General features: G+C 36.6%; 1 long non-coding RNA gene across 16 annotated transcripts in view; it reads right to left on the bottom strand.

Annotated features, from left to right (window-relative positions):
* Positions 1-27,654, bottom strand: part of MIR99AHG (mir-99a-let-7c cluster host gene) — a 561,240-nt gene that overhangs the window by 9,558 nt on the left and 524,028 nt on the right. For 15 of the 16 annotated variants that reach the window (NR_136542.1, NR_027790.3, NR_111005.2 and 12 more), the window contains one exon: positions 11,393-15,176. This is a non-coding gene — a long non-coding RNA (mir-99a-let-7c cluster host gene). Of the gene's footprint in view, positions 1-11,392; positions 15,177-27,654 lie in introns of those variants that run through there. The other variant, NR_136541.1, reaches the window with a different exon arrangement.

Below are 27,654 nucleotides of genomic sequence, written 5' to 3'. Positions count from 1 at the left end.
GTCACTGGCCTCATAGGTATTTAGATTCCAGTAGTGGAGAAAAATATGAAACAATCATTGATATGGTTTGGCCATGTCCCCACCCAAATCTCATCTTGAATTGCAGCTCCCACAATTCCCACGTGTTGTGGGAGGAACCTGGTGGGAGGTGATTGAATTATGGGGGCAGGTCTTTCCTGCATTGTTCTCATGATGGTGAATGAGTCTCACGAGATCTGATGGTTTTAAAAACAGGAGTTTCCCTGGACAAGCTCTCTCTTTGCCTGTTGCCATCCATGTAAGACGTGACTTGCTCCTTTTTGCCCTCCACCATGATTGTGAGGCCTCCCCAGCCATGTGGAACTGTAAATCCATTAAACCTCTTTCTTCTGTAAATTGCCCAGTATTGGGTATGTCTTTATCAGCAGCATGAAAACAGACTAATACAATCATGTAATTACAATTTTAACAAGGACATTGACTGCAATGGAAGTCTATATGAGGATTTAAACCTACTCTTGGGTAAAGGGTTAGAAGGGTTTCAATGGGACCCAATTTTACATGTACTAACTCACTCAACCCTCAAACCAACCTAATGACATCAGTACTGCTACAGTCACCCTGTTCACAGATAAGAAAACTGAGGAACAAAGGCATTAAATACCTTAACAAATCACAGAGCCAGTAAGGGACAGACCCAGCATCCAAACCCAGGTTGCTTAGTTTTAGATTCTTTTTTTAACCACTCACTGTGCTGTAGAAGTCTGTGCATCTGTCCGGGAATAATGAGAACACACTCCAGCTAGAAATCGAGGCACCTGGGAAAGCCTGAGGTGGTAAGAGCTTGGTACTGGAGAACAGGACTGTCTCAAGTCCTGTTCTTGAGAACAAGAACTGTCTGGGTGCTGTTCTTTTGAAATGTGAAAAATTATTACAAATGTGAAAAATTATGTATGTAATTTTAAATTGTCTAATAGCCACAGTGAAAAAGAGCAAAATGCAACAGATGGGTACAGACACCATGGAAAACAATCAGGCAATCTTATAAAATAAACATGCCGTTACCATGTGATTTAGCAATTGGACTCTTGAGCCTTTAAACTAGACAAATATAATTCATGATTATACAAAAACCTGTACAGAAATGATTATAGCAAAAACAGGAACCAACTTGGTACTTCAATGGGCAAGTAGTTAAATAAAATTTGTGGTACATCCCTACCAGGGGATATTACTCAGCAAAAAAAGAAGAATGAACTGTTAAAATGACTTGGATTAATCTTCAGAGAATTATGCTAAGGAAAAAAAAGGCAATCCCAAAAGTTTACATACTGTATGATTTCATTTACACAAAATTCTTTAAAGGACAAAAATTTAGAAATGGAGAAAAGACCAGTAGTTGCTAGGGGTCAGGGCTGGGCAGGGACAGGGCACAGGAAGGAGGGCAGAGTGGCTATAAAAGGGAACTATAAGGAATCTGTGATGAAGGAACAGTTCTGTATTTTGATGTGGTGGTAGATACAACCTACACATGTGATAAAGTTGCACAGAACTAAACACCTACACACACTCACAAACACACAAAGGAGTACAATTAAAATTAGGAAAATATGAATAAGGTAGTATCATTGTCAATATTCTAGTAGCAATATTGTGACTAAGATTTGCAGGATATTGCTATTGGGAAAACTGGATAAAGGGTACACAGGATTTCTCTGTGTTATGTCTTACAACTGCATGGAAATCTAGAATTATCTCAAAACAAAAATGTTAATTACAAGAAAAGAAATATGGAATTCATTTTTCTTAATCAAATATATTCAAACTATTTGTATTTCAACGTATGAAACAATACGAAAAGTATTGAGATATTTTACATTTTTCTCATATTGTCCATTTGGGCTAGCCCCATTCCAAGTTCTCAGTAGACACATGTGGCTAGTGGTGACCATACAAGACAGCACAGGTATAGAGGAACACAGAGACAAGAGGTGAGGCAGACGCTAAAGGTAGGGAGGGTGAGCACTTTGGGAGGCCGAGGCAGGCGGATCACGAGGTCAGGAGATCGAGACCATCCTGGCTAACACTGTGAAACCCCGTCTCTACTAAAAAAAATGCAAAAAATTAGCCAGGCGAGGTGGCAGGCGCCTGTAGTCCCAGCTACTCGGGAGGCTGAGGCAGGAGAATGGCGTGAACCCGGGAGGCGGAGCTTGCAGTGAGCCGAGATCGCGCCACTGCACTCCGGCCTGGGCGGAAGAGCAAGACTCCGACTCAAAAAAAAAAAAAAAGCAGAGTCTTCGTAATGGCACACAGGGCTTCATGTGCACTCTCCTGCTGCTTTCTCCCTTGCTCATTCTCCTTCAGCCACACTAAATTCCTTGCTGCTCCTGGAAAATGCCAAGCACACATGCTCTGGCCTTGGGCACCTTGCTCTTCATGCTTTCTCTGCCTGGAACTGTTGCCCCTGGATACCTCTCTGACATGCTCCCACACCTGGAATGGTCTCTGCTCAGATATCTACCATGACATGGTCTTCCCTGATCTACTTCTATAAAATAGCAAATGGCACCTTTCTATGCCCCGCTCCATCACCCATTACATGGCTTTCATTTTCTTCATCATACTTACATCATCTGACAGTCTATATATACATATGCACTTGTATATTTGTCAGTCTTCCACAGAGGGCAGGGGTATTGTCTGCTTTCTTGGAGACATATTTCCCAGAGTCTGGAAGAGTTCCTGGCACACAGCATACATGCAATGAATATTTGTTGAATAAATTGTTTGAGGAATAAATGATTTATGTTTAATTCCTTCATAGTTTTCAAAACAAAACTACCTCAAATAAAATCTACACATATTTTCCTTGAAATAAAAAACTGACGTAATCAATTTCAGACTTGGGTAAAGTTTCCTGGATGTTTAAAGCATGAAGCACAGAAGAAATCTCTTTGCATTCCAGTAAAAATCAATAAAATATTTTTCATGCAAAGATTAAACTCATGGCTAAAAGTTATGTTTGTTTTTTTAACATTGCTAATTATTTTAGAGAGCTCTTATTTCTGTTATAATTTTGTTTAAAGTTTATTTCTATATTCATGATTAATTTATTTATATCTTGTTGCTAAATCTACTTTTTTACCAAGTAAATTCACTCAGAAATTCTCAAAGTTACTCACTACTGGGCCTTCAGGGACATAGTACCTTCTTGGAGATGCATTCTTCCAATGACCCCAATCAGATATTTTTTTCTGTCTTGGACTTCCATTGTTGTACTAGTTTTGTATCTGAATTTAACACCTACTCCAATCTACTTACATCAGAGATATTTATGAAAATGTCATCACTCCAGAAAGGCAGAAACTGTCTTCTTCTCTCTCAGTCACTAGCATAATGCTGTGCACTTCTCAGTTGAACTTAGATAAATATTTAATGAACTGAATTGAATTATGTTTTTAATAATGTATGCATACATCTAGTCTAGAAGACTTGATAAGCAAGCAGTGCTTAAGATACTTTTCACACACAAATTCAGACTGTCCAGTATTTGTCCCAAAAAATAACTAATATCTATCAAGCTCCTATGATGCATGAAAAATTTTACACGTGATCTCATTTAGCCTCCATAAAATATGAAGTGGGTATTATTCGTAACACTGTTATCTATGAAGAACTGGAAGTTCAGAAGGAACATCTAATGTTTCCAAGTTTTAACAGCTGTTAAATGTCAGGATTCTCCAAGTTGGCTGACCCTAAAGTATTATTTTACACTTCCTAGTGGGGTTCCAATACTTTAAATTAGAGATAGCTTCTGAAGACAAGCAATAGGAAGTATGTATGTCAAAAGAGGAAATTGAAATGTTAGAGATTATCTAGAGAAACACATCCAAGACATGTTGAACTTCATAAACTGTATCTCATGTAAGTTGAAGAAATTGGAGTATTTGGGGCCAAGAAAATAGCAAATGATACAGCATAGAAAGAAATTTGGCCTCACTCAAAGAGAGGCCCAGTCTTTGTATCTGGTTCTTTGGAGGTAATCTGTAAACCCTTGAAATTCACCAGGTGATAAGAATGTCTTTGTTATTCATCATGGGCTCTTTGGACAACTTGCTATATTGTTAATCAATCACTCATGCCTATGTATTGAAACTCCAACAAAATCTTTGAGTACAGAAGCTCAGTTGAGCTTCCCTGTTTGATAGTTCTTCATGTGTATTGCAGTGTTTTGAATACGTCCCCCAAAAAGCATGCATTTAAAAGTTAAATATCCAATTCCAGAGTGCTGAGTGGTAGGGCCTAATGAGAGGCGATTAGTCCATGAGGGCAAAGTGAATGGATTAATGCTGTTATCATGGGAGTGAGTTTGTTATAAAAGGCGTAGATTGACCCTCTTGTCCCTCTTTTACTCTCTCTCCCTCTCTTGCCCTTCCACCTTCTGCCACGGGATGACACATTGAGAAGGCCCAGATGCTGGTTGCTTGGTCTTGGACTCCCCAGCCTCCAGAACTGTGATAAATCAATTTCTGTTCATTATAAACTATCTAGTGTGTGGTATTCTGTTATACCAACACAAAATGGGCCAAAAATGTACCATCACACATCAGTAGTAGAAGAGGAATACATCCTAAAGACAGCACAAATCTCCCATTTGGAACCCTTCCAGACTCTGTACTATGTGTCTCTTTCTTTGACTGATTTTATGAATCATTCCCCTGTAATAAATAAAACTGTGAGTATAATAAGTTTCAGTGAGTTCTGTATTTCTAGTAAATTATGGAATCTGAAGGTGGTTTGGGGCAATATGGAACTTGTGGTTGGGTGTCAGAAGTAAAGGTGGTCTTCTCTTTAACTTTGTAGCTGGATTCTAATTTCGTTAAGTTAAACTCCAAAATTTTGGGCAGACTTCGTGGTCTGGAAAACTTTATCATAAGTCCATGTAGATGTATAACAATAATGCCGTAATTCCAGAGATCCTTAAAAATTTATTGTAACAAATTAAAGGTTTGTCTGGGGAGAAGGGCATGAAAACAGACCTCCAATATTCAAAGTGCTGTCATATAGACATATTTGGTATTAGTCCAGAGATAAAATTTGGTTCAAATAAGAAAGAACTTCCTAAAAATTAGAGTTATGCAAAAATGTGATTAGTTGCCTACGAAAGTAGTAACTTCCTTACCTTAGAAAATGTTAATTCCTTAATTAAAATGCTATAAGCCAGAGAGATGTGTTGCTTAGGAATTTCAGCCTAAGAGAGGGTGGGTGATTTTAACCGTGTCTTCTAACTCTTAAGATTCTGCTATTTTGGCCTGGCGCGGTGGCTCACGCCTGTAATCTCAACACTTTGGGAGGCCGAGGTGGGCGGATCACGAGGTCAGGAGATCGAGATCATTCTGGCTAACACGGCGAAATCCCGTCTCTACTAAAAATACAAAAAATTAGCCGGGCGTGGTGGTGCGCACCTGTAGTCCCAGCTACTCGGGACGCTGAGGCAAGAGAATGGCGTGAACCCGGGAGGCGAAGCTTGCAGTGAGCCGAGATCGCGCCACTGCACTGCAGCCTGGGTGACAGAGCGAGACTCTGCCTCAAGAAAAAAAAAAAAATACAAAAATACAAAAATTAGCTGGGCGTGATGGTGCATGCCTGTAGTCCCAGCTACTTGGGAGGCTGAAGCGGGATAATTGCTTGAATCGAGAGGCGGAGGCTGCAGTGAGCCGAGATCACGCCACTGCACTCCAGCCTGGGCGAAAGAGCGAGACTCTGTCTTTAAAAAAAAGAAAAAAAAAATTCTGCTATTTTGGTCAAGTCCTGTAATCCCAGCACTTTGGGAGGCCAAGGTGGGCAGATCATGAGGTCAGGCGATCGAGACCATCCTGGCTAACATGGTGAAACCTCGTCTCTACTAAAAATACAAAAAATTAGACTCCACCGCCCCCCGCAAAAAAAAAAAGATTCTGCTGTTTTTTGGTCACCATTACTATTTCTTTAAAATGACAACAAATAAAGCCTAGCTTACATGTATAATAGGCCAAAGTCTTTGATTTGGCTCTTACAAAGATCTGTTATTTTGTTTTGCTTAAAAATACCAGATCACTTAATGTAATCCAATTAGCTGGACAAATATAAGTTTACAAGATAGAAAATTGAAGCACTGTAAGACAAAACGTTAGAAGTTGTGTAGTGCTGGTTCACATCCTCCCATACAAGTTTTTGTCATTATCATTATCAGGATAAAGTGAGGAATACTTACTTTCAAATGTTAATGGAAAGTATCCTTTTTATAAAAAGCAGCTCTATCACTAACACAGAATTTTAATAATGTACCATGAGAATTGGCATTTTGTTACAAATCAATCAATTTACACAAAAACCCTTTCAAATGAATCATAAATGAATATAAACAAAATTAAAAATTGTCACACTAGAACATAAACTACACATTTGACAACAATTAAATTTAATGCAAATTTACATGAACATTCAAAACAGAAACTTTTTTTTTAACACTGTAATTATCAGTAAGTGCTGTCACATCGGTTTCTGAAATATACCTTCCAAGCCTCTCTAAGTAATTGCCATTTCTTTCTTTCTTTTTTTTTTGTTTATCCAAAAACAAATCTTTATTTCATTCTTACTCTTGAATAACACTTTTTTTTTTTTTTTGCTGGTTTTAGCTTCACAAGTTGGCCTTTTTTTTAAAATTATTTATTTTATTATTATTATACTTTAAGTTTTAGGGTACATGTGCAGAATGTGCAGGTTAGTGACATATGTATACCTGTGCCATGCTGGTGTGCTGCACCCATTAACTCGTCATTTAGCATTAGGTATATCTCCTAATGCTATCCCTCCCCCATCTCCCCCCCCCACAACAGTCCCCAGAGTGTGATGTTCCCCTTCCTGTGTCCATGTGTTCTCATTGTTCAATTCCCACTTACGAGTGAGAACATGCGGTGTTTGGTTTTTTGTCCTTGCGATAGTTTACTGAGAATGATGATTTCCAATTTCATCCATGTCCCTACAAAGGACATGAACTCATCCTTTGTTATGGCTGCATAGTATTCCATGGTGTATATGTGCCACATTTTCTTAATCCAGTCTATCATTGTTGGACATGTGGGTTGGTTCCAAGTCTTTGCTATTGTGAATAGTGCCACAATAAACATACATGTGCATGTGTCTTTATAGCAGCATGATTTATAGTCCTTTGGGTATATACCCAGTAATGGGATGGCTGGGTCAAATGGTATTTCTAGTTCTAGATCCCTGAGGAATCGCCACACTGACTTCCACAATGGTTGAACTAGTTTACAGTCCCACCAACAGTGTAAAAGTGTTCCTAGTTCTCCACATCCTCTCCAGCACCTGTTGTTTCCTGACTTTTTAATGATTGCCATTCTAACTGGTGTGGGATGGTATCTCATTGTGGTTTTGATTTGCATTTCTCTGATGGCCAGTGATGGTAAGCATTTTTTCATGTATTTTTTGGCTGCATAAATGTCTTCTTTTGAGAAGTGTCTGTTCATGTCCTTCGCCCACCTTATACAAAAATTAATTCAAAATGGATTAAAGACTTAAACGTTAGACCTAAAACCATAAAAACCCTAGAAGAAAACCTAGGCATTACCATTCAGGACATAGGCATGGGCAAGGACTTCATGTCTAAAACACCAAAAGCAATGGAAACAAAAGCCAAAATTGACAAATGGGATCTAATTAAACTAAAGAGCTTCTGCACAGCAAAAGAAACTACCATCAGAGTGAACAGGCAACCTACAAAATGGGAGAAAATTTTCGCAACCTACTCATCTGACAAAGGGCTAATATCCAGAATCTACAATGAACTCAAACAAATTTACAAGAAAAAAACAAACAACCCCATTTCTTTATATTCAACTGAATTTTAGGTTCTTTTGAGTAAAACTCTCAAAATATGGGTTTTATTGATTCAATAAAAACTAGCCCATTTGTTGGTAAAAGCTGCATTTCACGTTTGTATTAATATTCTAATCAGAATTGTCATAAGAAACAACACAAAAGCAACTTACTTAAGATAGCTAATTTCATGGACCTGATATATTACAAAATATGAAACAAAAATATAAGAATCCCATTTGATATAGGGTTAAGCTTCAAAATAGATAAGGAACTCAAACAACTCAATAGCAAAAAGCAAATAATCCAATTTAAAAATGAACTAGAAACTTGAATAGATGTTTCTCCAAAGAAGACATACAGGTGGCCAGCAGATATATAAAAAAAAGTCCAATGTCATTAGTTATCAGGGAAATGCAAATCAAAACTGTGATGAAATATCACCTTACATCTGCCAGGATGGCTATTAAAAAAAAAAAAAGACAAGTATTGGTAAGGATGTGGAGAAACTGGAACTCTTGAACACTGTAGGTGGAAATGCAAAATGGTACAGCTATGGGAAAAAGTACAAAGTTTCCTCAAAAAATTATAAATAGGCCGGGTGCGGTGGCCCATGCTTGTAACTCCAACACTTTGAGAGGCCGAGGTAGGTGGATCACCTGAGGTCAGGAGTCGAGACCAGCCAGGAGTCGAGACCAGCCAAATTGGTGAAACCCGATCTCTACTAAAAATACAAAAAAATTAGCCAGGCGTGGTGGCAGGTGCCTGTAATCCCAGCTACTCGGGAGGCCGAGGCAGGAGAATCGCTCGAACCTGGGAGGCAGAGGTTGCAGTGAGCTGAGATTGCGTCATTGCACTCCAGCCTGGGTGACAAGAGAGAAACTCCATTTCAAAAAAATTGTATTTATATATATAAATAAAACTAGAGGAGTGAGGGTTAAAAATTACATATTGGGTACGATGTACACTAATCAGGTGACAGATACACTAAAAGCCTAGACTGCACCACCATATAATTCATCCATGTAGCCAAAAACCACTGTACCCCTAAAACTATTGAAAAAAAAAGTTACCATATGATCCAGCAATATCGCTTTTGGCTGTATATCCAAAAGAATTGAAATCAAGATCCCAAAGAGATATTAGCACTCCCATGAATAGCACAATGCAGGAGTATGCACAACAGCCAAGATGTGGAAACACCCTTAATGCCCATCAATAGGTGAAATGGATAAAAAAACGTATACACAATGAAATACTATTTAGCCATTAAAAAAAAAAAAGGCGATTCTGCAGTGTGGGATGACATTGATGACCTGGACGACACTATGCTAAGTGAAATAAGCTAGTCAAAGAAAGACAAACACTTTCTGCTTCCGCTTACATGATGTATCTAAAATAGTCAAATTTGTAGAACCAAAGGGTAATCGTGTTGTCAGAAGCGGGGGAAAGGGGAAATGGGGAGTTACTATTCAATGGGCATAAAGTTTTAGTTAAGCAAGATGAATAAACTCTAGAAATCTGCTGTACAATGTTGTGCCTATCATCAGTGATAATAAACAGTACACTTAGAAAACCTGTTGAGTGTAGATCTCATGCTAAGTATTCTTACTACAATAAAATAAAACTTTTAAAAAAAGAATCCCATCATATGAGATGTGCAATAATCCTTGACTTAACTTTGTACAGAGTATCTTACTGCTATTGCTCTGCAAAATTATAAGCTTGAAGTTGCCTACAGCTATGATTTTATTTATTTATTTATTTATTTATTTATTTATTTGAGACAGAGTCTCACTCTGTCGCCCAGGTTGGAGTGCAGTGGTACAATCTCAGCTCACTGCAACCTCTGCCTCCGGGTTCAAGCGATTCTCCTGCCTCAGCCTCCAAAGTAGCTGGGACTACAGGTGTCCACCACCATTTCAGGCTAATTTTTGTAGTTTTAATAGAGACGGGGTTTTGCTGTGTTGGCCAGGCTGGTCTTGACCTCCTGACCTCAAGTGATCCAACCACCTCAGCCTCCCAAAGTGCTAGGATTATAGGCATATGCCACCACACCTGGTCTATGCTTTTCTGTTTTCATAATAACGGCATCATTTTGTCCAAAGGTTCAGTCTGCTCCAGGTTCCTAACTGTGGCAAGTTAGATATTATATGAAATAATAACTTTAAAATTACATATTAGGTGAAGGAGCTTAATTAAAACCTAGAAACATTCTTTTTTTAAAAAAATGGTAACAATAATATATCATAATGAAGCAATGTGTTACAATAAGCAAAATGTTTATATTCTTCCTCTGGGGGCAAAAACAGCAGGAAAATAGAAATACAAGAAGTGGGTCAAAATTCCCACATTGCATTTGATGCATTTAAGTAACACTTTTCTGGAAAAACCTCTCCAATTCCTGATACAAAATTAAAATAGATTCAAGGAACTTCAGAATTTCAAGATAACTAGTTAAACTAATATAATACAGCTCTCAGAATTCAAAGAAGATATTTTCTAACAGCTTCATAACAATATAGGTTTAATTTTAGTGATGTTTTACTGAATAATTGGCATATTTATACATAATACCATAGATTTGAACAAAAAGCATCAATGTAAATGGAATACTAACTATATTTAATTAACTCCAATCAATATATAATGGGAAAATGTATTATTTCATTTCTACCTAGTGAGATATGAGATTAAAGTTCTGTCATAATGTGCTAACTAACTATAAATTAAAGACTACTAATTTTTCCAGGTTTGTTTTTTTCGTAAGAGGAATCAAAAAGGCACTACAGAGGTGGCTTTTCAAAAGCCATTCATTTTTGAAAAGCCACAAATAATTACATACTTCCCCCCATTCCCAAGAATACACATATACTTAATGTTTTGCAAAGACAACTGACATTTTACATTGTGTCTTCATAGTTTTATCTGAACTCTGCTTCCCAGGATATTGACAGGGATGAACTATTTTCTTAGAGTAGGCTGGAATGCCTCATTGTGCTCCACCACAAGAATCCCCCAAAATTCTGATGCTTTGAAATGCTCCTGTTATCTGGTCCATATTGGTTTACTTAAGGGTCATCAAAGAAGTCCAGTTCTAAAACAATACTCCTCATTCTTCATTCTGACAAGAAGCAAGTATTCCTCTAGACTGGAGAAGGTCTAAATATGTATCTTGTATTTGTTCAGGAAATTCTTCATACTGTTATCCAATTTCAGGTACATGAATAGAATAATCGATAGTCTGATATTCACTAGGGTAATGCTACTCAAACTTGCTCAGTTGATGGAATCACTGATGGTTAATGTTGGTTTAGTTTTATTTTTTATTTTGGAAAAATGTAATGATGACTAATTTTAATATATGTGCTTGAATATTTGATTTTTAGATGACATAACCATAATATATAGTTTTAAAATCACAAACCTCCTCCCACTAACGTCAATAAAGTCAGGTTCTCTATGTTCTGTTGGGATTTATTACAATGTTATTTACTATCTGTTTTCATAAAAAAATTTTAACAATTTCTGTCCTTTTTCTGTTATTTCTTCTTTATTTCTATTTTTATTTCTATTTTCATGAACACATACAATATTATTTATGAAGAAATCTTGCTAAAAGAAAAAAAAAGGAATCTGATTAAAATATTTCTGCCTAGCTCAAAGCTTACAGAAAATACAGGAAAGAAGAATATGGTTAATGACATTACAGCATATTTCAGAATGAGAGAAACAATAAAGGACAAATAACCCAGTTTCATCAATGAATAAGTTGCAAAAGATTAAATGAGAGGGGGAACCTACAGATTAAAAGGAACTTTAGAAACATGTCAATCAAATAATCCAGGGAGTTAGGAATGAGCGAATGATGTTATAAATGAAACCAGATTGGCCATAAATTGATATAATTTAATTAGTTGAACCTATATGTGTGATAAGCACATAGAGGTTCATTATGCTATTCTCTCTAATTTGCATATATTTGGAATTTTCATAATAGAAGTTTTTAAAAACAAAGGCTATATTTACTGTGAACAGAAAGCCAAAAAAAATGTAGCCAAAGAAACATGTGGAATAATTCATTGACAACAGAGAAAACTCAACTGATTCAGTAATATTTGGACAACGGGGAGGGTTCTGCCCAGGACTTGGCTGGTGTTCCACAGATCATGTTGATCTAGAACAGAGAGCCCTCAAGAAGCAGAGAAGATTCAAAACTTCAAAACTAATGTATCTGAATTATGTGCTAATAGAAGCATGAGAAAAATATCAACATTAGCTAGAATGTAAAAAGAAATGCTTCCTTTTTAACCTTATTTCACAGACCAAACACTAAGTCATACCTTTTACAGATGTGCAGAAAGCGTTATAGATGGAGGGGAATGGGTGGAGGAGGTTTGAGAGTAAATGGTTCAGAAAGCACTTTTGTAGTGTTCAAAACAGGATAAGTTAGTCTTTTCTAATAAAAACTGAGTGTTTAAACCTAAACTGTGTATTAATGTATTTCAAGGTCCATATGCTTTTTTTTCATTAATTTCTCTTAGATGGATGCCCATTTTGGAATCCAGTTACCCAAACTGTTGTCAATATTTTTGCCTTTTATTTCACCAGTTTTGCACAACTGGGCTGGAACAGTATTGTATGTGACCAAATAATAGAAGGCATCCATATTACTACTTCTATCTGAGTGTTTGCCTCGAGACTTGAGTGGAAAACTTTACCCTTCTGTCGGCCCATCCCTGGTCTTAGAGTGTATTAGTTGGGATTATAGTCAACTTGAACCTACTATTCAATCAATAATTGAACTATTCTCTTAAGATGCATTCTGTTTAACACTGAAGGAAACTAACACAGCTTGACCCTTGTGAAGTGTTGCGAAGAGCTGCAGTCAAGTGGAGACTTCTTTTATTCTGGTTGGAGTATTTTGTTGCTATCTTTACCTTGAGCTGGGCAGAATCGTGAATAGCTACAAAAAAATTCCTTTATCTTTGTTGCTTCAATGTTAAGAGGCCTTATTAACACAATGACATTAAAACTGGATTGAGTCTGTAGCTAAACATTTAATTTTAATGCTTGCAATAACTTAAACTAAGACAATAATAGCTACCATTTACTGAGTATGTATTTTAACCAAACACTGAACTTGAGAGCTTTCTATACAGCGTTATATTTATATACTTTTTCATTATTTATTGGCATTGCAAAAGATTATTCAGCCAATTGCTCCTATCAAGCCTGCTACTCTTTCCTCCAGACTCTGCAATGGCAGTGAGCAGAGCTATTGTAGCTTTTAAATATGTGTTCAGCAGTGGGCTGGAACCAGCTCATACTTATTCAAGAGACTGTCTTTTCCCAACTCTACATCAAGTGACATCATATTGGTAGTTTCAGATGGCCAGGATGGGAGAATTTACACTACAGAAATCAGTAAGAGAGCCAGTTGCTAAACATTTACCAACACACCACTGTATGCAACCCTCATTCATTCTCCAAGAAGAAATTTTGTCATTGGGAGTATTTGACATGGCCCAGTTATTGCCACTTTAGAGACAGTTTAAAGTTAAGACCTGACTCACTTTAAAGAGATAAAAGGAAAGAAATCAGGCTCAATAGTCATGTCACAGGTAGGCGTTCCACCCTCCAACCATCCCTGAATTTGTCTCATTTCTTGAAAGAACCAGGTGAGGGAGCTATGGTCCTATGGGCATTCTTTCAATAACTTGGGAAGAGGATTTGGGGAAGACTCTCTAATTCAAGGGTCAGCAAACTACAGCCTGTGGACTAAATCTGCTGATTTCCTAGTTTTATAAATAACATTTTATTGGAACACAGCCACACCCATTTGTTTATGTGTTGTCTAGGGCTGATTCCACACCTCAACAGAAGTGCTGAGTAGTGGCGACACAGACTGTACGGTCCCCAAAGCCAAAAATATTTACTATCTATCTGTCCCTTTACAGATAAAGTATTCCATGAGTGGCTGAGGTAGGGATGTGCTTGGTATTTAAATGATGCTTTATTCTGGATTTAGTTCATGTAAGAATGAGGTGAGAATAAGCTCAATTTCTTTGTTTTTCCTCAATCTGAGGAAGAGACTTGCAGAAATCTAAACTACGTGCTTAATTTTATCCTTGTGTACTCATGCAAGTTCATCATTTAGAGGAATAATTGCGCTCACTATGTCACAGAAACATTCTTGTACTGGCTTCACATAGGTTGGGCTGCCCGGACACTCTACCTGGATATCTTTATTCAATTATTCATTCATTTTTTCATTCAACAAATGAATCTAATATTTATTAAAGCCCTACTAGGTTCTGGGCACTAGGGGTATACTCAGGAATAATCAAGGCTCCTGTTCAAATGGAGCTTATATTTTAGTGGGAACAGCATATACTTATTTGCTTGTTGTCTAACATAATATCAGGAAGTGATAAGTACTATGAAGAAAAAGCAGGAAAGGTGTTTCACAGTTCATGGGGTACTTTTAAAGATGTTTAGGAAAGCTATCTCTAAAAAGATGACATTTGAGCAGAGAGATCAGAATAAAGTAAAGAAGCCAGTCATGCATCCCTGGCAGAGAAAACACAAGGGCTAAGGCTCACTAGCAGGCATGGTTGGGAAAAGGCAAGATGGAGAGTGAAAAAGGGGAAGAGTCATGAGAGACGATGCCAGTAAGGTAGACGGGGCAAGGTCATACCTGGCTTTGCAAGCAAGGAATTTTGCATGTTATTCTTATGACAGGAAAAACCACTGGGAAATTACAAGAAGGGTGCTGATTTAAAATAATTTACACTTTAGATTAGCACCCTCTCTTCTTTGTGTAGCGGAGACGACTGTGGTTGATAAAGGAGAAGACTAGTTATTATGAGGCTATTGCAACAGTACAGGCAAGAAATGACCTGAGTTTTTTGGGCTTAGGTGTTACCGGGAACCATAAGAAGACAGTTAAAAGGATTTTTGATCAAAAATGTCTGCAGACTTTCTAAGTCCTCTTTATAATTGAATGCTAACTTAGTTCTTATTACATGGAACAGAGATTGGGGAAGAATTTATACATTCATTCAACAAACACTTACTGATCTTTAATATGAAAACAACAGCTGCTATGTGCTTGAGATTAGAAGTTAAAAGAAGGTCTGTTCAGTGGAAAATAATGCACAGCAATCAGTTCCTCACATATTAGCTCCCCTTTTTATTTTTTAAAAACTCTTCCCATTCTGACCTCAGCCTCCTCCATTAAGTTTTCTGCATCCGTGCGACAAGTCTGGGGCCATGGCTGCTCCTTGAGGCTGCTGCCTTTGAGGTGCTCTTGTCATCTAGAGTTTGAGAATGAAAGGCACGGATTAAAATAGAGTACAGTCTATGCGGGACATATGCCTGTGCACATGCGCACACGCACACACACACATACACACACACATCATAAGTCCAATATGCAATTGTTGAATCTTCTAATCTTCCCTTTCACAAATTTTACCTGTCACTATTAACATGGTTAGGTGATCCTTCGGCCAATTAGGGTATGGAATTCCTTTAACTCATGTTTTAATTCTGGTAAACTCAACTCTCCCTATTCCTTTCTTACCTTTTCATGTTAAGCTTCTAGGTGACATACACTAAAAATTTTAAACAGATTTCCTTGAAGGTCTTTCCCATTGTTTGACATACAAAGGTACATCTTCTCTTAGCAATTCCACAGCTCTCTGTGTTGCCATGGATATTGTGAATTCAATATCTGTTCCCAAAGTTATGTTTCTTTCTTTGTCTTAAACAAAGGGCAGCTATTTAACTGATTGAAATCTTCCAAATACAACATGCAAAAGAAGTAGCTGGTTTTCCAAGCCAGCAAGATTTAAGCCCTGAGTGAGCATTTTGGCATTTAGTAGAGTGGTAGCGGTGTTTCCTGTCATATGGGTCTGCCTGTGACTCCAATGGAACCTTTTAATGTCAGCTATAATTCAGGGTATATAAGAGCAGAGAGAGGAGTGTCAATGAACTGGCAGACAGTTCTCAAAGCTGAGAATAAAAGTACCCACCTAATATTTCTGAGAACAGAGGTTTTGAAATTGAAATTCTGTGGATTCCTAATTATAACAGAAGAAATTTCAGTGTGACTTAAAAATTATTAGAGACTCAAGGAAATAATATGACTACAAAAAGTTTCATGTAGTATATATAAAATACATAACTATATATCACATTGTTATATTTTTTATTTTGAAAATGCTCTATGTGTACAACCTTCACTATATTTTCTTTAGTGTTATGCTAAAGATAAAAAATAAAATGAGGACTTGGTAATCCTCCTCAAGGTATGGGTGACATACACTGGACTTCCTCTACCACACAAGCGGTGCTTAGGAGTGTGCCAGAGGAGCTTGGAAGGGTTAAAGTTTTGTCTGTGACACTGAAATTGAGGCCAGCTGTAGGTCATATTCACGTCCCAGTCACAGGAAAATGAACCTGTGAGACAGAACCTAATTATCTGCTAAACCAAAAGCCAGTCTCAGTTCAATAACTTACGACAGAGCTAGCAGCCAGATATAGTGTTACCATGGCAACTTTGGAACAAGCTCCACTGCAGTTGAGAATAAGGAGGAAGGGAAAGAGAGTGTAACCCTAAATGTGCTGTAGCCGTTTGATCTCCGACAAGTGGGTCCATCTAGGAAACCAGGTTATTCTGTATGTGACTGCCATTGTCTATTCACTTTCATATCTGCTACAATTATTGAAAAGGAAAATGCAAATACAATGTCTTCCCGGCTTAAAAACGATTCCACTCTTTAACGGCTAAATGGGAATTAATTTTAAAGAAAAAAGTATAAGCTTCCTCTTTCTCCTCCTTCATGCCATCCCTAAATACACATAAAGCAGGACACAAAGGGTGAGAAATCTTGAATACCTCATCATTGTCATGAATGAGGTTTGTGTCCATGAAATTCACTGTCAACCCTATTTTCCTCTGCCTTGCAAATGCCAAGATATTTTAAGGAAAAACTTTCAAGAATTGAAGGAATACCATTTGCTTTTCTAAGGGGTAGGAGTAGAACTGGAGAGTAGAAAAGAGAAATTTTTTTTTCTGCGGATTCTGCCTAAACTTTCAAGTGAAATAATTTCCTTGGGATATTGAGATAAGAAGAATCAAACATTAGAGAAAGGAAAAAGCCCTGTCAGGTTGGTCATCTTTCTTCTTGCCAGTTCACCTTCATAGTTCCTTCTGGAATATCACTGGAATTTCAATTTAGGAGATGATATGGCTTTATGCACATAAAAACTTCAGAAACCAGTTACCATGAATACTGTGACAACAGCATCTCACTAAAAATATTAGCAGGTAAGAAACAAGAGCTTATCGTACAGCCATATGCACTTTGAGGAAGAATTCAGAAATACATTCCTCTATCTCTTTTTCATTCCCAATGGAGGCAAATCATGCTAAAGCTTGTCAGTTACAATTGTTGGATTTCAACATATTTGACAATTTTGGTATATCATTAATGATGTAATAAGACACATGTAGCACATAATGTTATCACTTGGGGTTGCTATCCAGCTGTAATACCAAATTTGAATCACATAGATATCTATGTATAAACATATAGATATAGCAGTGTGTTTCTTTATGTATAACTCATAAAATCATTGGGTTTGGAATAAGGAGAGAAAGGAATACAGAGATGAATAATATCCTTTTCATATGCATGAATAACTTTGCAGTAATGCAAATGAGAAAACACAAAATGGAAAGTAGTTTTCTTCTAGCAGAAATATGACTAAGAACATAGCCTGAAATTTGCCAATAAATTAGACTCACTTATGATATCTGTGGATTTTCTTTAAGATGTCACATCTTTTAAAAACACTTTACCCTACCCTATTATATTATATATTCAGTATATAATTATGTAAATATGGAAATCCACAACTTCAAATTCCTTTAAACTGCCACGATGCAAGAAAGGGAGCTTTAGGATTGTACGACAGAAGGTGTGTTGAGATGTGGGGGCAGAAAAGCAATACAAAGGGCAAAATCAAATTTCTGATTAATTTCCAGGTAGAAGTAACCTAACCTCTGCTTATGACCCTAACTTAATTTATTTTCAAGTAAATGAAGCCAGAAAGTATACCCCTTTCTAAGATAGATGTTTCTGAGATCAGATCATTAAAAGGCTCGCAAAGATGCCAACTAAAACAATGAAGTTCAATACATTCTTTGGATCCTGTTACTCCTAATATTAGTTTTTCTCTTAATCTTTTCACTTACATAAATTAGTTAGGAAAGTAAATGAAGCAATTTTATCAGAAGAACATCTGAAAGAGCTATTGATTTAAATGCTTTTACATTTTAGCCTTATCACACATGATTACCTTGCAGATATGAGTTTAGTAATGATGCAAAGCACCAAATTTCACTGGATTCTCTGTTCCACTTGAATTCTTGGGAAAGATACTAGAAGCACTAACAAATAAATCATTCTTTTTTTTCTCTTGGTGTGTTTAGTCAATGATTTTGAAAAGATGTGCCACGACAGTCTTTCTGAACTGTTTCTTCACACATTTTCTTTAGCACCATCATCAATATTTCTTACAGGCTTGTGGGTAGGTGTGTCTCTGTGTGTTTGTGCTTTGTGTTCTGTTGTTGTAGTGTGTTTGTTTTTAAAAGTCTCGCTGTCACCCAAGCTGGAGTGCAGTGGTGCGATCTTGGCTCACTGCAACCTCTGCCTCCCAGGTTCAAGCAATTCTCCTGCCTCAGCCTCCCAAGTAGCTGGGAGTCATGCGCCACCACGCCTGGCTAATTTTTGTATTTTTAGTAGAGATGGAGTTTCGCCATGTTGGCCAGGCTGGTCTCAAACTCCTGACCTCAGGTGATCCACCTGCCTCAGCCTCCCAAAGTGCGAGGATTACAGGCATAAGTTACTGCGCCTGGCCTGCTTTGTTTATTTCTAATTATAATCTTAAAATACTAAGTGCGATCTGTGTGAAGCATATGCTCCAACCCGCATAAAGGCCTTGATATGTTCAATTAACATTAAAAAAATGTAATACAATAAATTGTAGCTGAAATTAATTTTACAACTTAAAATAATTTGCTTTCCATATGGAAGGTATTTAATGTATTTGTTGACTAAGTGAATAAATGAGCCTATCTGCTAAGGATCAAGTACTTGATTATCTGCATAAAGACAGAAGAAAAAGTAAAGTCTGAATGAAACTTAGGAAAAACAAAAAAGACTATGTCCTATGCTACCCCTGGATAAGCTCCATGAAAAAAAGATTCCAGTTTTCAAGGAATCTTGAAAAGGAAAAGAAAATCTAGAACAATAGTTATTACTATTGTATCTACAATATTAAAATGGACTAGAATATTCTAGAATGTATGAGAATTTAGTGTATAATAAAGGTGGAATTACACATCTCTGATTTTCACTCCCTCCCCTAGAGGTTGTAAAACTAGCAGTGAAATAGGGAATATTTGCCTATATTCAATTTTCTCTTTTCTCTCTAGGACACTAACGACCACTAGTGTAAAACTAGGAGTGAAATAAGGAATATTTGCCTATATTCAATTTTTTCTTCTCTCTCTAGGACACTAGTCTCTTCACTGACCCCAGTCTAGAAAGTATCATGGTGTTCTATATGATGGATGACTACCTTCAGATCATATCCTAAAGTCTTCTCTATTTGATAGTTAACTATGATAAGTTCTATGATCCAGGTCTCTAGGATTAGGCTAATATTTCTGGCCATGAACTTTAGAAATTAAAAGTAAAACCATTTTTTTTTCTTGTGAGTCTATCTCTTCCAAACCAGACCAATTTGTTTAGAGCTCATTACACTTGCTATAAGTTTAAAAAATAATCTACCAGTCACTTCAAATCTTCTGTTTATTCTATTCTTGATTGCATCTTCCTTCCCATGAAAGAAAGAAATGTTATAGATCAAATGAGCGGAGAACAATAGAGCAACAGCATAATGTTAGGAGGTAATTATTTTGGTTTAAGTTTTCCAGATATCATTCAACTATACAGTCAATCACTTGACTCTGTTAATTCTACCTTCTAAATTTTCTCTGATCCCTCTTTGCCTTGCTAATCCCACTGCCATCACCTTCATTCAGGCCATTATCATCTGTTCCAATGAATATACCCAGGGAATCACTACATATAATTATATGTATGTGTATTTATCAACATAGTAGTGTTTATATTAGTTAAAAATAAGGTGAAAGTAAATTCAATGTACACCTGTGAGCTGACTGGTTAAATAAATTATATTAGTGTATCATAAAACAATAACATAATAAGCATATGATAAAATAATATGTGGCAAAGTATTCAGTATATAACAATTGAAAAACAAGTTACAAAAGATTATAAAAATATTGAGTGCATGTATGTGATGGTGGAGAGAGATAGAGCACATGAGTTTACATTGTATGATAATAGGAGATATTCTCTGGCTGATGAGACTAATAGTTGTTTTTGTTTTTCTATTTAGTCTGGAATTTTTCATTTTATAATTTTATAAAATGAAGATTTGCTATCATCGATCTCTAAGAGTTTGTTACTTTTTCTTTTGTCCTTCCCCAGACTTTATTTTGTAAAAAACCTAGTTATCTTTAGATAATGTGAAAATATCTTAAATTGTTTTAAAATGGTTCAAGACTAGTAGGCTTAGTAACATTGGAATAGGTTTAACTGCATTTGCAACCAGTAATATTATCTTTCCAGTTGAACATGGAAGTGTTCTAATCTTTTCAGGATATGAATCACCTGTATAAGACAGGTGTTAAAATGTGTCATAAGATATGTTATAAAGAAATCTGTACATCTTTCTAAGCAAAATATATTATTTAAGGAGAAGGTTGAGATAAATGTCCTCATATTATGGTTGGGTTCATTTATTATCAGATGCTTCAAAATTGTTGATGTTCACTATGACAGGTTGATAGTTTTTCTTCAATATCTACTGCTTTTTTTCTTCTGATTTTTAGCTGGGTAAATAACTACCTAGAATTAAGTCTGCATTTTCATGCACCCCTCCGCTCCAAAACTTTGTGTAACTTGTGATTAAGTTCTAAGGACATAGTAGATTCTGTTTATAAAAATCCAAATTGTTTCCTTAAAAGGGAGTGCAGTGCCTTTATTTTTCTCCTTGCATTTCTACTAGAGCAACAAGATGGAAGCAACCTGATCCCTAACTTCAAAAGTGTTCAACTATGTTTCTAGAAGAATGATTTCTGAAGCTATGTAGTCATCTCTAAATTTTTCACTACTGCTTCAACAACTTCCTGTGGTGCCACATTCACACCATGCCTAATATCAAAGTTCTATTAACTGAAATACAAGTGTAAGAGGAAGTTAATGCTAATTCACAAAAGGAATATGATGATTCTAATTCTTTTAGTATCAACAGGTAGAAAAACTTTATGAAATCTTCTCTGCCTTTCTTTCTTGCCACAAATTTCATCCCTATGCAATCTACTCTGTCATTAAATACTTCCAATTGTAGATTCATGAACTTTCTCCCATTTACTTCATACTAACTGGCCCTAGTAGTTCTTAATTTTGGGTGATTTTAGTCTTTGAAAATATTATATACATGGTTAGATCACCTTTTCCAGAAAAAAAATAGACATACACTCAAAATATTACATGCACTCTCATAGGAATATAAAACCCCAAAAGTCTAGGGGCATGTGAAATTCATGTTAGGAAACCCTGGTTTATATCTCCATTTTTGTTCTTCCTACACATTGCAATAGTCTTTATTTCTATCTAATAATCCCTTATATTTTCTCATTTCAGCATTCTCTATCCAACTCTTTCTCAATTTGTGTGTTAGCCAGTCATCTAGGAGCTTTTACAAAACACACCTGCACATTCTCTACCCCAGACCTAGTGAGTCAGAATTTAAGGGGTAGGAAAAATGGTGTGTCTACATAAAGCTTGCTCAGTAATTCTGACAGGTCCTCTGGATTGGAGTATTAAGCCATATTGACTGGAAACAGATTAATCTTGCACTTTACATCCTTGCGTCTGTCCCCAAATATTTAAAAGGTCCTCAGTGCCTACTCCATTGTAAAATTGCACAATCCCCAGGACAACCTCCCTGAACTCTGTAGCTACTCCATCAACTGATTTCAGCTTACTTTTTATTAGGCACTCAATTACTAACTTTCCAACAATGCACCTAACTTTGCAACAACATTCATTGCCAAACATAGCCCAGCTTTCCTGTTCCTGCACATTTGTATATACTGTATAGTCTCCCAGAAACCCAAGCCCTTCCATCACTTTCTCTAGAAATCCTTCCTATCTAGGGACCAGCTAAATGCAGCCTCCACCAAGGAATTGTCCTTGATTTTCAATGACTAAAATAAATGACTTTTCAGGCCCAGCGCGGTGGCTCACGCCTGTAAACCCAGCACTTTGGGAGGCCGAGGCAGGCGGATCATGAGGTCAGGAGATCGAGACCATCCTGGCTAACACGGTGAAACCCCATCTCTACTAAAAATACAAAAAATTAGCCAGGTGTGGTGGTGGGAGCCTGTAGTCCCAGCTACTCTGGAGGCTGAAGCAGGAGACTCGCTTGAACTCAGGAGGCAGAGGTTGAAGGGAGCCAAGATCGTGCCACTGCACTCTAGCCTGGGTGACAGAGCGACTCCATCAAAAAAACAAACAACCAAAAAAAAAAACAACAACAAAAAATGCCTTTTCTAGAATCCCAAAACATCAGAACGTTGTGTTTACATCTCCTTTGTGGATAGATCACTTTCTGACTTGATAACTTTTTTGTTTTTTAAACAAATTCTCATAAGAACGTATTTTGTAAAGAAAGAATTCTAATTTTATTTTGTATTTCCCACCTACGTAGCATAGGATCGTGTTCTTTTTTCTTTTTCTTTTTCTTTTTCTTTTTTTTTTTTTTTGATGGAGTTTTGCTCTTGTTGCCCAGGCTGGAGTGCAATGGCGCAATCTCGGCTCACCACACCCTCTGCCTCCTGGGTTCAAGCGATTCTCCTGCCTCAGCCTCCCGAGTAGCTGGGATTACAGGCATGTGCCACCATGCCTGGCTAATTTTGTATTTTTAGTAGAGATGGGGTTTTTCCATGTTGGTCGGGCTGGTCTCGAACTCATGACCTCAGTAGGATCATGTTCTGTATAGATTATGAATGAATGAGTAGATGGATAGAAGGATGAATAAAAAGATTTAAGGGTTGGGAATCCTGTTTGTAACTGTGTGTAATTTCACTCGTTCATAGGGCTTTACAAAATAATGAATTTAACAATCAAAGTTTATCTGTTTAAAATTATGATTTGAGACAAAGTTGAGGACTAACAATGAAGATGAAGAGAAATCATCACAAGGCATTGTGGTAATCCCTCCATACTTAAAAAAGAGAGATAGGTAAGGTTAACATTTTCCATTAATATTGTGTCGAGAAGACCAAGGCTTTACTGAGCTTAGATCACTCTTGGAGAGGGATCAAGACAAAATACCAGGAAAGAAGAAATGTCTTCCCCTCCGTGCTTTTAAAGAAATGGTAGTATTCTTCTAAAGGAGAAAGATGTAACAGAATAAGTATATTAAACATTTTAAACATTCAATGCCAAGCTCCTAAAAGCCCCAAAAAGAATTTCTTTTCATACTAGTAAAGTATGAAATTATTTCTGTGTCACTTGGGTCGAATGGTCAAAAGATCGGATGCAATTTAATGCAAGGTCCCATCTAACATAATTAAGTACTTTTTACTCATCATTGGCTCTAGAATACTTAAAATTTAAGGCTTAAAACTTTCTTGTTATGTCTAAGAACGTAAAAGTGAAAATACTTTTCAAAAGATTTTAAGTTTCATTGAGACCTGCTTGATTGAAGTGCAAAATCACTTGATAATTGCTAATATTTATTATCAGGTAATCAAAGGTTAATCTGGATACGTGTGTACACAGCTTGTACTTTTAAATCAGAGAACATTTTACAAAAGTTTTGCAAAACTAAACAGCATTGGCTGCTATTGCCATTTTAAAAACTATCAGTGCTTATTAGTGATTTTTCTTACATAAAACTTTAAAAATCAATTTTCTCATGTTAGGAATGAAGAAGGAAGTAAGAATATGGTTTTATAGCTTTAAAAAGTCATAATATAACACTCAAATAATCCTCTGATGATCATGAAAATCCCAAATAAGTCTCAAGAAGACACAAGAAAAGGCTTGGAGTAGTCACCCAAGATTTGTGAAATGAAATTGATTTCCATTCAAATCAGGTCTTTTACTCTTCTTGAAAATGTCAAGGTGTCAGCCTTGGCCATTACGAGACTGTGATTTATAGTTGAGACAAAGCGATAGTACCAGCTGACTGTCTGGAGCCACGGTACAGTGTCTGGCAAGGCTGCCGATGACAGCCATCTCTTTTCTTAACCAATCAGCAAGGCTTAAGTAAGACCCGAGTCTTTTTTCCTCCGTCTTGATAAGAAAATGATAAAATACAATCTGGAAGATTTACTTCGTGGGAAATAAACAAGCATTGTGAAGGGAAGTAGGTATCATTTTTCCACGGACTAAATTGCAAACATTATTTATGGCAATCTATATTTCAGCCCTTTAGAAATACATATTCATAATAGGACCATAAACAGATGTTCCAAATATGACAACTTATTTTAATATACTGGAAGCCACAGCATAATTTTGTAATTTGATTAATTAGTAAGAAGAATTGTGAATGTTAAAATACATTTTCAAACTCTCTAAATTATATTTATGGCTTTGCTCATCTGCATCACAACAAAAGCCCAAAATGTTTTGCATTAGAACCATTATTCATAGTAAATTAATCTCTTTTTCATTGAGAAAGATTCCTAAATAGTAGTTCTTGATGGTAAAATGTTAAAAACCACCCAGGTCATACTATGATAAACAAAAGAGCAACAAGGTAAAGGATATGGAATAAGAATCTAACATCCTTATTTTATAACTGTAGCCATCATATATACATCATACACACAAACACACACACACATATGTATATATAATGCATATATATATGTATAATAGTAGTAGAGGAAGAAATTAATTCATAAACAAAAATAAAAATTTCCAAGAATCAGCACTAATTATCTCTAACATTAGAGGTAAAAGTGGGGAGGATATAAAATTTGCTGTAAGGAAATGGTCTGATCATATGGTGGTTAAGGATAGACACAATAGGCTACAGAAAAAAATAATCATCTCTTCTTTACCAAACAATTTCTAGTAATCTTAAATAATTTTTAAAATTTCAAATTCCTAAATGAGACCAAATGCTGACTTTCCTGGTATATGTCATATATTACATGCTTATGGAAAGTGTTAATAAAAGTAATTAATCTCATGACACTCAAGGTTGAGATTTGCTGCAGCAGATGTTTTATAGTTTCCATGCTGTAAGAGGACATTTGGCAAAATAAACTAATGTTGCCTACACATTGATAGGTACCAGTGAGTTTACCAAGACAAACATTTTCAAAAGCCTATCAATCATCATTATACTCAGTAATTAAAAAATGTGTAGTGGTGGTTGTGTGTTCCATTACATTCCCGCCTGCTTTAAATTCCTTTCACTTTCTACGACTGACAGACCCTCACTCATTCCTCATGACCTTGATAGGCTAGTCGTCTTTTGCCTCCCTACATTGGCCATCCAATCAGAGTAGTCCTTGTTTATCAAATAAGTGGATCCACATATGGGCATGTCACCAAAACAGAGCCAATCCAAGATTTTCTGACAACTGAAATTGATGTTGGCATAAAGAGAATCTTTTTGTTTGTTTATTTTTCCTGGATTCACAGGCTGTAGGATGACGCATGATGCAAGTCTGAAGTTGTATGTGGCCATCTTTGCCACCACATTCAGAAAGCTTACCTGAGAATGAAGTCAACACTGGAGAGAAAGAGAAAGAAAGAGGGAGAACATATCAGGTGAGAGGGAGAGGCAGAGCCAGCAGAGAGAACTTGGGGGAGGGTGGGAAGAATAGATGCATTAATAAATAAATATCTTATTTTAAGCTGACAAATTATACTGTGGAACTGATGAATTCCATGTGGGTTTCATTCTCAGGTAGAATCTCTCCACAATGGCAACAAAGATGGTCACTAGCAAGTCCAAGCCTCCATTCTCTTTAAAACTTGCAATCCTTGAGGACAAAGAAAAACGATCTTTTTTTTCCAATATCTATGTTACTTCTAAAAGAAGGTATTAAGGAAAGCCTGTATGAAATTTCATTCATCAGTCAAGACCATACTGGCCTTGAATAAAATTTATAAGCAGTTTTTTTTTTTTTTTTTTTTTTTTTTTTGAGACGGAGTCTCGCTCTGCCGCCCAGGCTGGAGTGCAGTGGCGCGATCTCGGCTCACTGCAAGCTCCGCCTCCCGGGTTCACGCCATTCTCCTGCCTCAGCCTCCCGAGTAGCTGGGACAACAGGCACCCGCCACCACGCCTGGCTAATTTTTTGTATTTTTAGTAGAGATGGGGTTTCACCGTGTTAGCCAGGATGGTCTCCATCTCCTGACCTCGTGATCCGCCCACCTCGGCCTCCCAAAGTGCTGGGATCTTTATAAGCAGTTTTTATAAAGAAAGTGAACATTGTGATTAATAAAATATATATTCTTATAGATGTGGGTATTCCTTATAGAAACACATGTCTTATAGATAGGTAAATAATGGGCAACGATAATTTCTTGACTCAATCACTAAGAGATAAGGTAGGGATCACTTTTTTATCTCTTAAATTTAGAAACACATAGTCCTATTATTTATCAGCAAATTGCTCTTTCAGAGTTACAATTAAAATATTTTAAATCGTAGAGCTGAATGTGAGAAAATGAACTAGAAAGAATATAAAGTTGAATATTTTTCTGTCAAAGTAAGATGAGCATTTGTTATGTCTAATTGCTAAAAAAAAAAAAAAATACATTATCTGTTTGTCCCATAAATATATTTGGTTGTTTTTAGTCAGTGCACTAGGTGGCCCTCACTAGAGAACATCCTATGGAAAGAAAACACGTTTTCTTTAAACATAAGATACAATTCCTTTGAGATTCTGTTAATCACTTTTCCTCTCTAATTGAAAAAGTCACCACATAAATTAGAGTACAAATTTCATTCTTCTAGAAAGAACCTTAAAAGTTGACATTTCTTTGAACAATTGTTTCAGAAATCCTTTTTTAAGTACATTTTCATTTTCTGGCATGGCTTGAATTGAATTCTAAACTTTCTGCTGCTTGTCCTCTAAGCCCCTCTGGTGAATTTAAATAGGCTTCCCTATATATTTAGTACATTCAAGAATTCTTTGTTGCAGTGCCTACTCTGCTTTATTATTAGAGAGCTGCCTCGGAAGTACAGCAGCCAGTTTGTTTTCTGCCATTAATAAAGAGTCTACTTTTTTTTCCCACTTCTTTGAAGAGTTGAAAAGGCTCCATGTTGGGTGGGAGGGGGGCCAGGAAGAGAGGGAGAAATGGAGGGAACTGACTGTGGTGTAATCCCTCAACAAAAACTGTTGTCTAAAGTAGAAACCTCCCCGAGGTTTACAAATGCCCAGGCTGGGCTTTAGCATGATGTATAAGACAGTAATAAGTTAGCTACAGACTGGTCTTCCCACCCCCAAGACTAGGAAGTGTACTATGAGTAAGGCACTACATTTCAAAATTCTACAAAATCAAATGCTTCCATTGGCTAGTGTTTCAATGCCACCCAAGTATTTTCTCAAAGATGTCCAGAAGCTGTAAAAACAACCACAATGTAAATCTATAA

The sequence above is a fragment of the Homo sapiens genome, chromosome 21 (genome assembly GCF_000001405.40).
Source record: "Homo sapiens chromosome 21, GRCh38.p14 Primary Assembly".
In the NCBI taxonomy this organism is placed as follows: Eukaryota; Metazoa; Chordata; class Mammalia; order Primates; family Hominidae; genus Homo; species Homo sapiens.
Note: the sequence above shows the minus strand (reverse complement) of the source record. Positions and strands in the feature narration are given on the sequence as shown.